The sequence below is a fragment of the Homo sapiens genome, chromosome 4 (assembly GCF_000001405.40).
Source record: "Homo sapiens chromosome 4, GRCh38.p14 Primary Assembly".
NCBI classification, from domain to species: domain Eukaryota; kingdom Metazoa; phylum Chordata; class Mammalia; order Primates; family Hominidae; genus Homo; species Homo sapiens.
In genome coordinates, this window is record NC_000004.12 from 2,377,343 (window position 1) to 2,391,701 (window position 14,359).

The 14,359-nt window shown below is 52.0% G+C and overlaps 1 protein-coding gene across 4 annotated transcripts in view, besides 5 other annotated features; it reads right to left on the bottom strand.

Moving 5' to 3' along the window:
- ZFYVE28 (zinc finger FYVE-type containing 28) overlaps nt 1–14,359 on the bottom strand; it is a 149,049-nt gene that overhangs the window by 107,746 nt on the left and 26,944 nt on the right. The gene's annotated exons all lie outside the window — the stretch shown is intronic.
- Nucleotides 9,641–10,155: an enhancer, noted in NCBI's record as "H3K4me1 hESC enhancer chr4:2388710-2389224 (GRCh37/hg19 assembly coordinates)". NCBI's record gives its function as "activates a minimal SCP1, AML or CMV promoter by ChIP-STARR-seq in naive H9 embryonic stem cells {active_cell/tissue: H9 hESC(naive)}" and the evidence as "EXISTENCE:reporter gene assay evidence [ECO:0000049][PMID:30033119]".
- Nucleotides 11,381–12,115: an enhancer, noted in NCBI's record as "H3K27ac-H3K4me1 hESC enhancer chr4:2390450-2391184 (GRCh37/hg19 assembly coordinates)". NCBI's record gives its function as "activates a minimal SCP1, AML or CMV promoter by ChIP-STARR-seq in primed H9 embryonic stem cells {active_cell/tissue: H9 hESC(primed)}" and the evidence as "EXISTENCE:reporter gene assay evidence [ECO:0000049][PMID:30033119]".
- Nucleotides 12,116–12,849: an enhancer, noted in NCBI's record as "H3K27ac-H3K4me1 hESC enhancer chr4:2391185-2391918 (GRCh37/hg19 assembly coordinates)". NCBI's record gives its function as "activates a minimal SCP1, AML or CMV promoter by ChIP-STARR-seq in primed H9 embryonic stem cells {active_cell/tissue: H9 hESC(primed)}" and the evidence as "EXISTENCE:reporter gene assay evidence [ECO:0000049][PMID:30033119]".
- Nucleotides 12,850–13,583: an enhancer, noted in NCBI's record as "H3K27ac-H3K4me1 hESC enhancer chr4:2391919-2392652 (GRCh37/hg19 assembly coordinates)". NCBI's record gives its function as "activates a minimal SCP1, AML or CMV promoter by ChIP-STARR-seq in naive H9 embryonic stem cells {active_cell/tissue: H9 hESC(naive)}" and the evidence as "EXISTENCE:reporter gene assay evidence [ECO:0000049][PMID:30033119]".
- Nucleotides 13,584–14,316: an enhancer, noted in NCBI's record as "H3K27ac-H3K4me1 hESC enhancer chr4:2392653-2393385 (GRCh37/hg19 assembly coordinates)". NCBI's record gives its function as "activates a minimal SCP1, AML or CMV promoter by ChIP-STARR-seq in naive H9 embryonic stem cells {active_cell/tissue: H9 hESC(naive)}" and the evidence as "EXISTENCE:reporter gene assay evidence [ECO:0000049][PMID:30033119]".

Consider the following 14,359-nt stretch of genomic DNA (forward strand, 5'->3'; position numbering starts at 1 on the left):
ATTTTAGGACACACATAATTTCTTAAACAATTATGAGCTAAACTCGCTGACATTTTATCAGTTTCCACCCTTGCAGCTGTTTCTTTTATCCCATCATCTTTCCTCCGAGTTCCCTTTTCTTGCTGATGTACATCTTATAATAGGAAATGTTACAACGAGCATCTGTAAATGGTTAAAAATGTTTGCCTGAAAAATGTCTTCATCTTGCCTTCTGCCCCTTCACTAGCAGTTCATTTGGGTCTAAAATTCGGGGCTGCCAGTCGCCTTCCCGCCGCACTGTGGGCTCATTCTCTATCTTGCGGCACTTGGGGTTGCTGAGAAGAAACCTGCGGGGCTTTTTCCATTTCTCGTAGTTACTCTGTCTTTTCTGTTAATTCTAAAGATTCTCTTCATCTTTGACATTCTGCAGCTTTACCACAATACATCTCAGTGTGGATTTACTCCCAGGTATTTCTGAACGATGTGAATATGTTCTCAGAACGGTGTTGTCAATTGACTTCATTATTGTGCAAACATCAGAGAATGGACTTCCACAAGCCTAGATGACCCCGCCTCCGACAGACCTAGGCTACATGGTAGAGCCTGTTGCTCCTGGGCCACAAACCTGCACAGCACGTTACTGTGCTGAACAGTATACTGTAGACAACTGTAACACAATGGGAAGTATTCGTGTACCTAAACAGAATAGGTACAGTCAAATACGGTTATCCTAACAGGCTGGGCGCGGTGGCTCACGCCTGTAATCCCAGCACTTTGGGAGGCTGAAGCGGGCGGATCATTTGAGGTCAGGAGTTCGAGACCAGCCTGGCCAACATGGTGAAAACCCCATCTCTACTAAAAATGCAAAAATTAACCAGGCACGGTAGTGCACGCCTGCAGTCCCAGCTGCCGGGGAGGCTGAGGCGTAAGAATTGCTTGAACCCGGGAGGCGGAAGTTGCAGGGAACTGAGATCACACTACCACACTCCAACCTGGGTGACGGAGCAAGACCCTGTCTCAAAAAAATAAAAAAATATCGTTATCATAACTTATGGGACCACCATTGTATATGTGGCCTGTCACATGGCCCATGACTGCACATTTCTTTATCCTACTTGGAACTCCTTTTATCTCAGAACTCATGTCTTTCTTCAATACTGGGAAATTCAGCTACCATTTCTTCAAATACAGCTTTTCCATCATTCTTTCCTCTCCACTCTCTCCCTGGGACTCCTATGAGACACTTTTTGGAACTTCTCCACTGAACTTTGATGCTTTTTCCTTCTTTCTTAGGGAAGCTGCCCGACTCCCGGCTGGGGCTGGTCCTCCTGTGGACTGTGAGGCAGCACCCTGTCATTTCCTCTGTACTGCTTTCCTGGATTGAGACTAGGTATTGATCCACCCCTGCTCCATCCACCCACCCAACCACGAATTTTGGAGCCAGCCAAAACGACTACTTGTTTTTGTTTCAGACCCGATACCCAGCCTTTCATTCTCCCAGGGCCTGCCACAGATCTTGATTATTCCCAAAGAAAGAAGAGGCAAACTGAAGCCAAATCAGAATCAAGGTCCACCTGCCCCTTCCCAAACCACCTTAGACTCCCACAAGGGTGGAAGCTGGTGCCAGAGGCTCTGAGCAGAGGGCTCTTCCTCTATGGGGTACATCTGCACCTGGATGTTTCTGGGCTCCAGGCATCCTGGTGAGCCACTGGGAAGGTGTCCAGAACTCCAGGGGCCTGGCTGTCTCATGACAGCAGGGGGTAGACGGGGGCTGGTCACATGGACAGACAGCATCTGAGAGTGGCCAAGCCCCCCAGTCTGCACCATGCTGGCAGCAGAACCCGTGCCAGAGAGCAAGGAGGTGTGGGCATTGGGGGGACCGCTCCAGGGAGAGACAGAGCCCTCAACAATCAAAGAAAGCAATGGGAGGGACTTACAGTTTCCTCATCTACCAAGAAAAGGAAATCTCAGAATCCCATCTTCTGTCAGACCCGGGAGCAGGTGGGCAGTGCAAGGATTCTCGGCCCTCCCAGGCCAGGAGCTGTCCCCCTATGCCAGGACCTCAAATTTAAAGCTCTCTCCTCTTAACAGAATCAGGAAAAACCAAGCTGACAGCTAAAATGTTCGGCTGAAGTTCACAAGAATGTAGAGGCTCAGATTGTCAGCACATTATAATCATTGACATTTAGCAACAAAATTGGCCCATCACTCCTGGACGACAAATCGCCCCCATCTGACTGCCCCTCCTTAATAAATAGGGCAGGACTCCTCCTGTGCAGAGATGGCACGCGCACCTCTGCCAACTCGAATTCACATTGCCACCCCACCTCCCTCCTGTAATTTTATCCTCATGGGATACATTTCTATGCTTCAAAGTCCTTACTGATCATCTATCAAATTTTTCTACAACATATATATCAATATTACATATTTATAAATCTATAAATGGGATTTAAATTTTTAAATTTTCACACTTTTTTTTTTGAGACAGAGTCTTTCTCTGTCACCCAGGCTGGAGTGCAGTCGCACAATCTCAGCTCACTGCGGCTTCCATCTCCCGGGTTCAAGCAATTCTTGTGCCTCAGCCTCCCAAGTATCTGGGATTACAGCCATGAGCCACAGTACCCAGCTAATTTTTGCATTTTTAGTAGAGATGGGGTTTTGCCATGTTGCCCAGGCTGGTCAAATTTTTAAATTTTCTGTGAGGCACTGAGTGTTAGCATTTTCTCTGCACTGAGTCGACAATGTAGACACTGCAATTACTTTTGCAACAACCTAATAGTATTAGTATACAATCGATCAAACAACATAAACATGTGACACATCTTGGTACACCATCATTTCACAGAAAGGTGTCTCATAGAAATGTAGTTCTTGATGGGGTGGATGCATCCGGGGTTTTCTGACTAGCTGTTGTCTCTTTGGGTAACTCACTAGTTGCCAAAGTAGGCTGGCCTCAGCTGCAATGCTGTTCCTGCGTTTTGACTTAGGTAAGTGCCAAGAAACCTGCTCTCATGGCTGAGTTAGCAGGAGCGGGGAGAGCAATAGAGGAACTTCCTGCCACTCCAAGAACAACTGCCGAGTTATCGGCTAAGAATCATTGCTTCATGACCAAAAGTCATTCTTAACGCCCTGTCAGCTGCAACTCAACCAAGTCCTTCTTCAATTTTATTGAAGTCAAAGCAGCAGAAACCACCTGGTTTGAAGGATTTGTCATTGGCATTGTCCGCTCCTTGGTCCTGTGGGCCACCTTTTGATATGTTTTGGCTGTGTCCCCACCCAAATCTCATCTTGAATTATACTCTCGTAATTCCCACGTGTTGTGGGAGGGACCCAGTGGGAGATAATTTGAATCATGGGGGTGATTTCCCCCATACTGTTCTCGTGTGAATAAGTCTCACAAGGACTGATGGTTTTATCAGGGGTTTTCGCTTTTGCATCTTCCTCATTTTTCTCTTGCCACTGCCATGTAAGAAGTGCCTTTTGCCTCCTGCTGTGATTCGGAGGCCTCCCCAGCCATGTGGAACTGTAAGTCCAATTAAACCTCTTTTTCATCCCAGTCTCAGGTATGTCTTTATCAGCAGGGTGAAAATGGACTAATACAGTAAATTGGTACCAGTACAGTGGGGTATTGCTGAAAAGATATCCGAAAATGTGGAAGCAACTTTGGAAGAGAATAACAGGCAGAAGTTGGAACAGTTTGGAGGGCTCAGAAGAAGACAGGAAAATGTGGGAAAATTTGGAACTTCCTAGAGACTTGTTGAATGGCTTTGACCAGATGCCTGATAGCAACATGGACAATAAGGTCCAGGCTGAGGTGGTCTCAGGTGGAGATGAGGAACTTGTTGGGAACTGAAGCAAAAGTGACCCTTGTTATGTTTTAGCGAAGAGACTGGCAGCATTTTGCCCCTGCCCTAGAGATTTGTGGAACTCTGAACTTGAGAGGGATGATTTAGGGTATCTGCGGGAAGAAATTTCTAAGAAGCAAAGCATTCAAGAAGTGACTTGGGTGCTGTTAAAGGCATTCAGTTTTATAAGGGAAGCCAAGCATAAAAATTCGGAAAATTTGCAGCCTGACAGTTTTTGTTGTTGTTGTTGTTTTTGAGACAGAGTCTCGCTGTGACACCCAGGCTGGAGTGCAATGGTGTGACCTTGGCTGACTGCAACCTCTGCTTCCCAGGTTCAAGCAATTCTCCTGACTCAGCCTCCTGAGTAGCTGGGACTACAGGCACGCACCACCATGCCCGGCTAATTTTTGTATTTTTAGTAGAGATGGGGTTCCACCGTATTGGCCAGGCTGGTCTCAAGCTCCTGACCTCAAATGATCTTCCCACCTCAGCCTCCCAAAGTGCTGGGATTATAGGCGTGAGCCACTGCATCCAGCTGTGACAATGTGATAGAAGAGAAAAACCCATTTTCTGAGGAGAAATTCAAGCCAGCTGCAGAAATTTGCTTAAGTAATGAGGAGCTGAACGTTAATCCCCAAGACAACTGGGAAAATGTCTCCAAAGCATGTCAGAGGTCTTCAGGGCAGCCCCTCCTACCACAAGCCCAGAGGCCTAGGGGAAAATGGTTTCATGGGCCAGGCCCAGGGTCCCTGTGCTGTGTGCAGCCTAGGGACTTGGTGCCCTGTGTCCCAGCTGCTCCAGCCATGGCTGAAAGGGGTCAATGCAGAACTCAGGCCATGGCTTCAGAGGGTGCAAGCCCCAAGCCTTGGCAGCTTCCACATGGTGTTGAGCCTGCGAGTGCACAGAAGTCAACAATGAGGGTTTGGGAACCTCCACTAGATTTCAGAGGATGCATGGAAACACCTGGATCCCCAGGCAGAAGTTTGCTGCAGGGGTGGGGCACTCATGGAGAACCTCTGCTAGGGCAGTGTGGAAGGGAAATGTGGGGTTGGAGCCCCCACACAGAGTCCCTACTGGGCACCACCTAGTGGAGCTGTGAGAAGAGGGCCACCGTCCTTCAGACCCCAGAATGGTAGATCCACCAACAGCTTGCACCATTTGCCTGGAAAAGCTGTAGACACTCAATGCCAGCCTGTGAAAGCAGCTGGGAGGGAGGCTGTACCCTGCAAAGTCACAGGGGTGGAGCTGCCCAAGACGATGGGAACCCACCTCTTGCACCAGGGTGACCTGGATGTGAGACCTGGAGTCAAAGGAGATCATTTTGGAGCTTTAAGATTTGACTGTCCCGCTGGATTTCGGACTTGCATGGGCCCTGTAACCCCTTTGTTTTGACTAATTTCTCCCATTTGGAATGGCTATATGTACCCAATACCTGTACCCCCATTGTATCTAGGAAGTAACTAGCTTGCTTTTGATTTTACAGACTCATAGGCAGAAGGGTACTTGCCTTGTCTTAGATGAGACTTTTGACTGTGGACTTTTGGGTTAATGCTGAAATGAGTTAAGATTTTGGGGGACTGTATTAGTCCATTTTTAGGCTGCTGATAAAGACACGCTGGAGACTGGGAAGAAAAAGAGGTTTAATTGGACTTACAGTTCCATATGGCTGGGGAGGCCTCAGAATCACGGCAGGAGGCAAAAGGCACTTCTTACACGGCAGCAGCAGGAGAAAATGAGGAAGAAGCAAAAGCAGAAACCCCTGATAAACCCATGAGATCTCCTGAGACTTATTCACTATCACGAGAAAAGCATGGGAAAGGCCAGCCCCCATGATTCAGTTACCTCCCCCTGGGTCCCTCTCACAACATGTGGGAATTCTGGGAGATATAATTCAAGTTGCGACTTTGGCGGGGAAACAGCCAAGCCATAACAGGGACTGTTGGGAAAGCATGATTGGTTTTGAAATGTGAGGACATGAGATTTGAAGGGGCCAGGGACGGAATTATAAGGTTTGGCTGTGTCTCCACCCAAATCTCATCTTGAATTGTACTCCCATAATTCTCACATGTTGTGGGAGGGACCTGGTGGGAGGTAATTGAATCATAGGGGTGGTTCCCCCATACTGTTCTCATGGTGGTGACTAAGTCTCACGAGATCTGATGGTTTTATCAGGGGTTTTCACTTTTGCATCTTCCTCATTTTTCTCTTGCCACCTCCACGCAGGAAGTGCCTTTTGCCTTCCGCCATGATTCTGAGGTGCCCCCTGCCCCACAGCCACGTGGAACTACAAGTCTAATTAAACCTCTTTTTCTTCCTAGTCTCAGGTATGTCTTTATCAGCAGCGTGAAAACAGACTAATACTCCTTTCCCTTAGTGGCAGCGCACTTATCCCAATGCCCAGGATGACCTGGGGAATCAAATGCTGCTTTCGGTCACCTCCACTGACCCGGTATCTTCTGTTAAAATGCCTTTATCTTTTCATATCACGCTTCAAGTGTCAAAGCCTTGGCACCATCAGTGCAGACTGGAGTGAATGGCAGGCCACACACTGGAAGGAGGAGGTACGCTTCACATTGGTTGGGATTTTCCAGCAGGCCTTCCACAGATCTAGAATATTCTATTCCTAAGAGACCCTGACAGACAAGGCTAAGGGCCTTTCTCTGTGTGTGGTGTCGCTGGCGTGTGTTACAGACACTCGCTCTCCAGGAGCCATCTCCAGGAGCCATTCTTTCACAAGACTGGAGAAAATGAGGTCGTCACACAGGGTCATCACTCACAGTCTCTCTCAATGATGCCCTGATGACCTAAGATGTCCCCATCACCCTGAAGTGTCTCCACTGGGGCTGTTCTGCAAAGAAGGGCCTTGAGGAAGACAGGCAAGAGGGTAGGGCACATGTCCCACACAGGCAGAGTGATTTTTGGACTGGGGTACACAGAGTAGATGCAGTGTTGGGTTCCCACATTCTACCCACAGGGAAGAGGCCCCCGGGACTGTCAGCCAAAGTCAATGCCACAGAGCCCTCTCCTCCCCGGGTACTTCGACAAACGCTGAGGAACCGAGACTGCACTGCTGACAGAAGAAACTTTCTGGAAGGAATTCCCTTTATCTGCGAAGAGGAAACTGGTTTTGTAGGAAAGTGTGAAAGCTTCTGTACCCTACAGATTAAGTTATTCAAGAAGGGTCAGAGGGAAGTGACCACCCGCCAAGGGAGTGAACAAGTGCTCAGGGCTGCCCAGGGTCACTCCAGCTGCCTGGTTTCCCAGGACAGGGCTGTGACTGACCACTGGAGGGGGCACAGGCAGGCCACCAGGACCGTGACAAATGCAGTTTGGGAGCAGGAGTGAGTTTAAGCAAGAACGAGAGGAGGGGAAGGGACCAGGCAGCACCCAAGCAGGAATCTCCTCCTGAGGGAGTGCTGGATGGGGTGGGGGAGCAGAAGCACAGAGGGCCGACCCCTCAGGGCCCGGTGGGAAGGTAGGTGGGGAGGGAAACAGCCTTACCTGCCAGGATCATAGGGGGAGCATGGAAACACACAGCCAAGACTTGTGAACAAATGAATGACTGAATTACTTCAGAAAAATCTTTATTTAATTCAGCATAGGAAAAGAAGACAAAGGCCAGGAGCCACCTCACTCACCTGGAGTGTGAGACACCTGCCCAAGCTTCAGCCCACTCTGCACAAGGAGTCACACAGAACTCTTGCCTTTTCAAGATGTGACGGAGACAGGCTCAGGTCCTAGACTTGGGGGGAGGGGAGTGTAGGGCAATCATCTGTCCTGATTTTAAGGATTATCATAAACACACCAATCCTGTACACCCTCAAGGAGTGCAGCAAAGTGATAAACAGAGTTTGTAAAAGGCCTCACCTTTGAAGCCATGCATAAGCAAACCTAGCTGGCCTGACCTGCCCAGGACTGGCGAGAAGGGGGACCAGACTGGAAGGCCAAGTCACTCAGGGACCCACCTCATCACAACTGCAGAGGCTCTCTGGGAATACACCCGCACTGCTGCCACCCCTTCCCGTCAGTGGCTTCAGGACAGACAGACCTGGGCCATGGAGGAGCACAGTGATGACCCTGGCCTGTATGGTGGCTACTTACGGTAAGGGAGTGGGCCAAGAACAGCAGCAGAAAAAGGTGAGACCCACCTGAAGCAGGCCCCAGCGCTGAGAGAGCACCTGCTGCCCTTACAGCCCCAGCGCTGAGAGAGCACCTGCTGCCCTTACAGCCCCAGCGCTGAGAGAGCACCTGCTGCCCTTACAGAGCTGCTGTCTCCTGACCCCGGCCTGCCAAAGTTGGGATTTGAGACTAGGTCTCTGGACTGTCAGCTGGGACCCTGAGCAACGCCAAGCAGCAAAGCGCCCCTTTGTTTCTGCAGCGGGTCAGACCTACATGGTTGCCTACATGGCCTCCCACAGGCTTCGGACAGCAGAGAGGGCACCCACTGCCTGCATCTGAGCCTTTGCCCTCAGGGCTGACCTCTGACCTCCTACATGGATTCCCTCCAGCCCCATTGGCTTGCCTTCTTCAGGACAGCACGGGGCAGATTTCCCTTCTCACAAAACAAAAAAAACAAAAAACACACCAGGCTTTCACAAGGCGGGACTTGACACCCTCTCACACCCCCACTCCAGTGCTCCCAGCTCCTTGCTTAAGAGCCGCAGACAGGCGCCCTCACAGGGGACCCATCTGGTTCTCCGGGAAGTTAAAATCACAATTTGACTTTGTCAGTGGGTCCTGAGTTCACAAAGCGGAGTCTTTGAGGGTCCCCTACAAGCACTGCACCGGGCTCGCTCTCATCCCAGGGCAGAGCCAGCACAGAATTTAATTTTCCATTTGCAGACTAATCCCAAATGTCTCTTTTCTGTTCCCACCAAAAACCCCACAATTTCTTCCCTTCCCTTCCCTGCTGGTGTTCACTCCCACGGCTGCAGCAGCTGGCTTTCCACTCAGACAGGGCTATGGTTTGAATGTCCCCTCCCAAATGCACATGGAAGTAAATCCCCAAAAGAACAGTATTAAGAGGTGGGGCTGGCTGCACGCAGTGGCTCATGTCTGTAATCCCAGCACTCTGGGAGGCCAAGGCGGGTGGATCACCTGAGGTCAGGAGTTCAACACCAGCCTGGCCAACATGGTGAAACCTCCTCTCTACCAAAAATACAAAATTTAGCTGGGTGTGGTGGCGGGCACCTGTATTCCCAGCTACTCGGGAGGCTGAGGCAGGAGAATGGCGTCAACAAAGGAGGCGGAGGTTGCGGTGAGCTGAGATCTCACCACTGCAATCCAGCCTGGGCAACACAGGGAGACTCCATCTCAAAACAAAAAGAGGTGGGGCCTTTAAGAGGTGACTGACTGTCCTCATAAATGAATCCAGCCGTTTGTGGACTGAGGGTCAATGAGCCATCACAGAACGGGGCTGTCATAAAAGCTACCTTGGCTCTCTCTCCTAAGCCCCCTAGCCACGTGATGCCCTGGGACGCCTGGGGTCTCCAGAGTCCCTCCAGACAAGGAGGCCCTCACCAGACCATCCCTGTGACCTGGGACATCTCAGCCTCCAGGACTGTAAGAAACCCAAATGCCTTTTCTTTATAAATGACCCAGTCTCAGGTATTTCATTAAAGCAACAGAAAACAGACTAAGACAGGCGCTTTCAGCAGTAAAACCCCGCTGCGCGCCTGCTGAGGCCATGCCCGCCCGCCTGAGGTGCCAGCCAAGCTCGCTGCCCTCAGCTCGCCTCCCGGAGCAGCCTCCTAGTCCAGTCTTGTCTGGAAAGAAACCCCGCTGGCCCCCGGCAGTCAGGTAGCACGGGCAGTAGGGCTGAGGCCCCAGAATGGAGATCTCCGGACACAGCCAGGGGGTTGGACGGCTCCGCAGACTGCAGGAGACTCCGGGGCCGGGGCCGGGGCCGGGGCCACTCCCTGGAGGAGGGGGCTGAGCCAGGATGGAGAGCGGTGCCACAGTCCGTTTGCCTGCAGGAGGAGGCTGGCCCACCCCGGAGCTCGCCACCAGCGGCCTAGGGTCCCCCAAGGCTCCTGGCAGTCCACTGGGAACCCGGAAGCACAGTCCAGCCTAGGGCTGCGTGGCTCTCCCCTACCCATCCCCTCAGCCAGGGCCACCTCTGCACCTCAGTCTCATTGGGAAGGGAAACTGAGCTTCACGGCCGGAAGTGACGCAACTCTGCTTGCCCGTCATTGGCCAGAACCCATCACTTGGCCTGCTTGCCCTCCTGCCGGCCGGAAGCAGGAGACCCAAGTCCAGGCGAACGTGACGTCCTTGTCCTCGTGCTGTGCCTGGGGGTAATCTGCCTGTCAGGGATGTGCCGCCCCACTTGGCGAGCAGCTGCGGACACGGGATATGGGGCCAGGAGCAGTGCTGCCTTTCCAGGGAGAGCACAGAGGAGGCCTGGGCAGGGAGCAGGGACCCTCGCCAGAGCTTGGCAGGGCCATCCTCTAAGCACACCCAGATCTCAGGGATGCTTGGGTGGGGAGGTTCTAGAAGGTTCTGGAATACTGGTTGAACAAGCGTCCTGTGCTTCTCCTGCCAAAAGAGCACCTAACAAAAAGAAGGGGGAAGTTACTGTTCTGGGGGAATGGTGGCCATCATGACGGGCTGTGGCATCAGGGATCACCTGGCTCCCTTATCACCTCCAGAAAGAACTACCCGATAAGGAATTGGGAATGTGGGCTTCACAGCAAGGCGATGCCTGGCCAAAGACTGTCGGACAGCAGGACCCCTGAGCCTGGGAAGCCCTGGAGGCCCACAGGAAAAGGGCCCCACATTCATGCTGCCTGAACACAGATCTGCAGCCCTGTGTCTGGAGTCGCCACCCTCGGACACAGCCAAGACAGGTCCTGTGACGGGCGGCTGGCCTCCCATGGTCTGCAGGAACCCACTGAGCAGATAATGAGCTCCCATAATGCAGCACTCATCCAAGGGAGAGGACGCAGCACACACTGCCCCCCAGTCCCCGTGCGAACCTAAGGGTTTATCCCACGGGGCTGCTCTCCTAAATTGTCTTCAAAGCCGGGACACAAATTCAAGACACATAAAAACTGGCAATCACGACCATATTAAACATGGATCCCATCAGGAGAAGCAAATTAAAAGCTCTCACAATGTCAATTTCCCAATTAGCTCCTCAAGGTCACTCCTAATACTGTCAACCCCAGCACAATTACCCCATGGAAGAAAATCCTAGAGGCAAAGGAAAAAGGTCATGGACTATCAACAGCACAACGAGGGCTCCCACATCTGCTTGGAAATACCTTTTTCCACAAGGGCTCACCTTCTCCCATCCCACTGCTGCACAAGAAGGGAAGTACCAGGGCCTTTCTAGAGCATGCCAGGACGGTGTCACTCCAAAGCCCTAAGACCCACCCAGGCAGCCTCTTTCCTGCCCATGTGACGACTTTATTTAGAGAAAGGCTTTCAGAGGAAGGAACATAGGAGAGCTTAGGAGAACATAAGGAGCTTAGGAGAACGAACACGGTGGATGACGGTGGTGCTGCTCTCGATGTTCACTGCATTTACGTGAAGGGCTCAGCTCCACTTCCGAGGGCTGGGTCTAACAGGATCCCTCCCCTACCAAACTGAGAAAGCTGCACAAGACTGAGGCAATGAGGATGGGAGGGACCAGACCACCCAGACCCCTCCCCTGCTGGGCTGGAGAGTCACCCTGGTGGGAAGCAGAGGAGGGAGCTTAACAATTTCAACCCGAAATCTAGGAACACAGCTTACCCTTTTAAAATAAGCACTGATGGCAAAGGAAGAGTCCTGCCCACAGAGAGGGAGTGGCCAAGGCAGCTGAATGCCCCCACTGCCAGTAGCTGTGGCTGGTTTGCATTTCTACCATTCTCCACTGTGGGGGAAGAACCTGGGAGGCTGATGAGTCCCTCCTCTGGGACCCCAGATTCTCTCCTCCACCCATCTGCACTGTCCCAGCTCCCTCAGAACATGGCTCCTGCCCCCTAGATCCACCCCATCCCCCTACAATCCTAATGGCTACAGCCTAACCCCACTCACACCCATGGCCAGTCAGGCCATCCAGCCAGGTCCTGCCCACACAGCCAGGAGGTGTTCCGGCTTCCGTGGATTTGGAGCACCCAGAGCCTACCTGGATCTCACACCAGCTTGACTGGGCTGCAGGGGCCAGCATCTGTGACATGAGAGGCCAGCCTGCCTGAGGCTACCCCCATGCCCCACCCTGCTGACCCTGTGAGCCACAGACACACTGCCCAGCCCTTTCCTGGGCCTCAGTGTCCACCACATGAGGAGGCTCAGCCTGCTAGAGCCCCATGGTCTCCTATGGCCCAACTCAAGGCCAGAAGAAGCTGTAGAGTGCCTCCTGCTACACCCAAGGGACACATGTAAGGCCAGGCGGCTTCTGATAGATTAGGGACAAGCTGCCCAAAATCTCACCTAGAAAAAGGCTTTGCATCCCCCAGGACACAGGGCAATGACAGCCCTGCGTTGGAAGCATCCATTCCCCGATCCGGCTCCTCTGTCTTTCTCAGATGTGCCTGCAGATTCAGACACATCCATTCTGCAGGGAGCCCCAGAATGAGGGTGACAAAGCAGCCCCAAAGCCCCTAAGGAGAGGTGGCCCTGCAGAGGTCCTGGCACCAATTTGGGAAGGGAGTGGCCTGCTGCTAGCTCCCTACCTACTCTCAGCAGGAAAACACACCACGTGCTCACCCCTGCATGCTGACACAGCGTCCCCTCACGGCATCCCCTCCAGCCTCAGAGCTGCCTCCTGCCTGGCTTGGACGCCCAACGCCTCCCTTCCTCCCGCCCACCAGAATGCTATTGTGGGTTGAATGGCGGCCCCCCGAAGATAGGTCTACCTGGAACTTGTGAATGTGACCATATGTGGCAAAAGGGTCCTTGCAGATGTGATTAAGGATCTCGTGATGAGATCCTGAATTATCTGAGAGGGCATGAAATCCAATGACAAGCGTCCTTCATAGAGACAGAAGGAGGTGGCCATGTGAAGATGGAGGTGGAGACTGGAGCAAGGCAGACAGAGCCAGCAAATGCCAAGCTGGCCGGCAGCTACCAGAGGCTGCAGGGGCACAGAGCAGGTCCTCCCTCAGAGGTTCCAAGAGGAACCAGCCCTGCCGACACCTACATCCTGATTGTGGACTTCGGGCCTCAGACTCTGCGGGGGTGAATTTCTGTGGTCAAGCCGCTCTGTTTGTAGTAATTTGTTGGTGACGGCCACAGGAAACGAATACAGGCAGGGCCACCACAGGGAGCCCCGTGTGTCTCACTGGAGAAGCAACTGTGCCTCAGCTGGAAGATGATGGGGAGCCAGGACCCCATGTCGGGGGCTCAGGAATTCAATTTTCCTGAAGCTGACAGAAGCTGGAGAAGCCATCTGGCAGCGAGGTGACCCGGCCAGGTTTGTGTTCCAGAAATGTCCCCAGAATACTCTACTTGTATAAATTATACATAAGCATGGCTATGTAAAGAGAAAGATCTGGAAAAAACAAGCCAAAATATCAACACAGTTTTTCTTCTGAATGGGTTTCCCTTTTGCCTCTCTAGCTGCCTGAAGTTTACGTTTAGTTTATGATAAGCGTGTATTGCATTTTTAGACGTTACTACCACAATCAGAATATAATGAAGTTGTTTTCTTTTTGTAAGAAAACAAGGCCTATGGCTGGCCTGGCAGTGTGGCCAGGGTTCACCCTGCATGCTGCCTTGGTCCTGGGATGCCCCGGTTGAGGAATCCCTGTCTGTTCGGGGTCCTCCTGCTGGATTCTTTCCCACTACTCAGAAATCCTGTCCTCTGGCTGCCAAGCTTCACAGCTGAAAGTCATTTCATAGAAGACAGCAGCTGCTGTGGGGCAGGGAGCAGACACTCAGGCTGTCTGCAAGGCGCCAGAGACCTGCCTGTGGGCACGCAGCCTCCCCCAACCCCAAGCGCCCTCCTAAATGACCGACAAGGGGCCGTGCCCGCCGCAGCCCTCCCTCTGTGTTTCCTGATTTTCCCAGGTGCTCTCTCTCCCCTTCTGCTCCATCCCTGACTTCTGGATTTAGTGCCTTTTTACAATTCCGCATCGTCCCCACGGCCGCTCAGTCACTGTTCCTTCCTCTTTCATGTCCTGGTGGTCACAGCCCACCCTGAGCTCTCCCAACCCGCGCTCATGTGTGGCGGAAGAGCCTCGTTCCCTCCCTCCCGTCCTGGGGCCATTGTTCCCATACGTTTACCTCTACGTACATAACAGATCCCACAATGCAAGGTTACTGTCTTAGGTCAGCTAGCACTTAGGAGGTCAATTATCTTTTTTTTTTTTTTTTTTTTTACTGTGGTAAAATGCAAATAACATAAAATTTGCCATTTTCACCCTTTTTAAGTCTACAGCTCAGTGGCATAAGCACATTCACACTGTTGTACCACCATCCCCACCATCCCTCCCCAGAACTTTCTCACCTTCCCAAACTGAAATGTCCCCACCTAACTCTCCCTCCCCATTCCACCTCCCCCAGACCCTGGCACCCACCACTCTCCTTTCTGTATCTATAAATTT